The sequence below is a fragment of the Homo sapiens genome, chromosome 2 (genome assembly GCF_000001405.40).
Source record: "Homo sapiens chromosome 2, GRCh38.p14 Primary Assembly".
Lineage (NCBI taxonomy): Eukaryota > Metazoa > Chordata > Mammalia > Primates > Hominidae > Homo > Homo sapiens.
The window spans coordinates 73,175,116-73,178,204 of NC_000002.12; the positions used below are offsets into that span (position 1 = coordinate 73,175,116).

The 3,089-nt window shown below is 62.9% G+C and overlaps 4 annotated features.

Moving 5' to 3' along the window:
• Positions 745-964: a silencer, noted in NCBI's record as "silent region_11634". NCBI's record gives its function as "represses an Ori minimal core promoter by ATAC-STARR-seq in GM12878 lymphoblastoid cells {active_cell/tissue: GM12878}" and the evidence as "EXISTENCE:reporter gene assay evidence [ECO:0000049][PMID:35858748]".
• Positions 1,100-1,773: an enhancer, noted in NCBI's record as "H3K4me1 hESC enhancer chr2:73403343-73404016 (GRCh37/hg19 assembly coordinates)". NCBI's record gives its function as "activates a minimal SCP1, AML or CMV promoter by ChIP-STARR-seq in naive H9 embryonic stem cells {active_cell/tissue: H9 hESC(naive)}" and the evidence as "EXISTENCE:reporter gene assay evidence [ECO:0000049][PMID:30033119]".
• Positions 1,774-2,447: an enhancer, noted in NCBI's record as "H3K4me1 hESC enhancer chr2:73404017-73404690 (GRCh37/hg19 assembly coordinates)". NCBI's record gives its function as "activates a minimal SCP1, AML or CMV promoter by ChIP-STARR-seq in naive H9 embryonic stem cells {active_cell/tissue: H9 hESC(naive)}" and the evidence as "EXISTENCE:reporter gene assay evidence [ECO:0000049][PMID:30033119]".
• Positions 2,270-2,349: a silencer, noted in NCBI's record as "silent region_11635". NCBI's record gives its function as "represses an Ori minimal core promoter by ATAC-STARR-seq in GM12878 lymphoblastoid cells {active_cell/tissue: GM12878}" and the evidence as "EXISTENCE:reporter gene assay evidence [ECO:0000049][PMID:35858748]".

Below are 3,089 nucleotides of genomic sequence, written 5' to 3' on the forward strand. Positions count from 1 at the left end.
CATCTGCACTGAGCTCTATTTTGTAGAATGGACCATGTCAATTTCCCAGCTTGAAGCACTTGGCATTCCTCTCCTGTGAGGCCCAGGTTTCTCTGGGCAGACCACAGGAAGCAGGCTCAGGCCACCGCATAAGTACGGGGTCTTGAGGGTGATTTGTGTTTGGGTGGTTGGGGATCTCCTAACCCGGGCTCCACAGTGAGCTCTCAGGGGTGTCAAGCCCAGTCGCGCTCAAGGGCCCTCTGCACTGTCTCCTTCACCGGGACAGCAGGGTCTGAGGTCCCGCCTTTCTCGGCCTGGGGCGTGCATGGCCTGGGCTCCATTGCAAGTTTTTGGACGTCCCCTTTCTCCCCCACCCCATCTTTTCCCTGGCGATCTCACTGCCCTTTCCAGGAGCACGCTCCCGCTCTGAGTCCGGAAGGACCCCGCGGGGGTCCTGACAGCCTCCCGGGCCCAGGGTGGGGATTGTGATGGCCCCTCGGGAGCTGGGTTGAGCCGGCGGCTCCTGAGCTAATCAATGGGCTGCAGCCGGCGGAAGGGGCCCGGCGGGGGGATTAGGAGCCGAGAAGGGCAATTACCCGGGTGGGCCGCTCCCCCGCTCGCCTTCGCCGCGCTGCTCAAATGCCGCATTTCGGATGCAGCGCCGCGCTCGGCCTGTTTGCTTGCAGAGCCGGGGCCCCGGGGCAGGAAGCCAACTCGCAAGTGTATCGGAGATTAGGGCCCGCGGCGGCGGGGGCGGGCGCTGGGCAAACACGCGGCGGCCGCCTCAATCCCCAGTGCTCGATTCCGCCCGCGGCGGTGCCTGCCCGGCAGTGACTCGGTGGTGGGGGAAGGGGGCGGCCCCGGCTCCCAGCGCCCGGGTGCCCTCGACGCCCACCCCGGGGGATACTCGGGGAGGCAGGCACCGGATGGGGAGCGACGGGTTTTTCCTTCGGGAGAGGCCACCCGGGCACGGTCTCCTTTCGCCCCATCCTCAGGCACACCTCGCCGCGCCGTCTTGAGGCCTGGTTCTAACCCTCCCGTCTCCCGCACCCCTAGTTCCCCGTCTGCCTAGTGGGTCGAGGGGAAGGGGAACCGGTTGGGGAAGGGAAGGAAAAAGACCCAAAGGCGGAGGTGTGAAGACTGGAGAGTGGCGGGGCCCCGCCCGGTGCGTACTTGGGGGTCAGTGCCCGCGACCGCAGGGCGGGGCGGCGGGCACGACACCCGGTGATGTCCAGGGAACTCGCGGACCTCAGCCGCAGGGCTGAGTCCTCAGCTGCTCCGGGAAGCGAGACTTCGGCAGGCATCCAGCAGCCCCAGGGTACAAGACCGAGTCTTAAACCAGATCTCAGGGCCCCCAGAGGTCGGAAGGACAGCCTAGAACTCCAGAACCAGCTCCTCTCCTGGTAGCCGCACCCCCAGCTAGAGTTCCTCTGGCCCTGCCCCTGCCCTCCCGCCCCGCAAATTCCAACTCTTTCCCGTTTCCCAGGCGGACTGCTCATTCCTACAAACAAGACTTTGCCCTGGCTTCTCCAAATTCTGCCCACCTATCAAGGCACAGCTAGCTCCCAGCCTCTTCCTCCAGGAAGTTCTCCAGTTTTCCAGCTCAGAGGGCTGTGCGCAAATTTAGCATCTGATTCCATCTCAGGGTCCCTCTGCGAAGGTCTTTAGCCTCCCCCCCACTTTTCTTTCAAAGAAAGGCGGTATGTTCAGTATGGGCTGGCAGGTTTGGTCTAGGATAGGATCCCTCATCCCTTAGAAAGACGTAGGGGCTTGAAAGCGCAGTAGGCTGGTCCCTGGGGCACCTGTGCCCAAGCGGGCCTCCTCTCTGGAGTGACGCAGGGACTCCCCACTCATGCCTCACTCTGGCTCCTGGGACACCCCCAACCCAGCCCCTGGGAGGCGAAGACGCTTTGTAACCAGCCCTCTTCTTGGAAGGTTATGAAGTCCTATGCTATTGGTGCTTCTGAACTGACCAAGCCACTTCCCCGCTCTACGCCTTCTCTTCTTCACCCTCCCCTAAGTTCCGTAGTGAGCTGCTGGGACTTCCAGAAGTGACCGGCTCTTCCTCCTGGGAGGAGGGGCGGGGAATGTTTGTTTCTTCCCCACAGTTAGGAAGCAGTGACTCCACCAGCCCGAGCGCAGCGGTAGTCAGCGCTCGACAGTGTCCCCGTTCCCCACCACCACCCATCCTTTACCGCCCCCGGGGCACAGCGCCCTTCCCCCTCTCCCCCGTTCCAGCTTCATTTCCCGTAGCTTCGAAGCTCCTAAGGAGTTAGGATCATCTTGGCGTACAGATCCCTTCGAAGCACTGATCCCTCCGCTCCTTCCCGGCACAGCCCCTTCCCGGCACGGCCCTTTCCCGCGCGATCTCCCGCTCTAGAGACCCGCGGGATGCGTCCCCGCCCGCTGCCGGGAGGTGGGGCGCCAGCATTGTACAGTCTGCGCGCGCCCCCTGCTGCTCGCCGCGAGAAATGACGGCCTACGTCCGCCGGGCCCTTCAGCTCCTCGGTTCCGGGCGCCCCCCACCGTTCACATCCCCGCGCGTTCTCGCGTCCTCGCTGGGACTGCGCCCAGGAGCCGCAGGCACTTACAAAACAAATTGCTGCCTCCATCACTGGGCTCAGTACCACCTGACACTATCACCCCACTTTTCAGGGGACCTCAGTGACGTTCCTGCATCAAGCAGCAGGACTGGAGCCCAGGTTTCCCAAAAGGAAGTCCAGACTTTTACAAACCATTAATGAAGGGCTTAAATTCTCCAGGGCACTGTACCCCTCGTACAGCTCTGTGGAGACTGAGAAAATGGGGTTCTGGCACCCAGGAACCTGGACCCCCAAAACAGGCACAGGCCTAGCTCTGTGCTGGGCAGTGCTGTGAGTCACCTGTTCTGCCCCTGGGTGGAGTATACCCAGGCAGTAGGCACTGACAGGTTCCATCCCAGCACCAAACCCAGGAATGTCCCGGTCAACTGCGGAGCACCAACCCCAGCAGTTCCAGAAGCATCCCTTCCTCCAGGGCTGCGGCTGTAAGAGGGGAGCTGAGGCAGTGCGTTCGCTGGGGAAGGAGGGACAATGCAAGGTCAGGGCCAGAGGAGCCTGGAGGGATGAGAG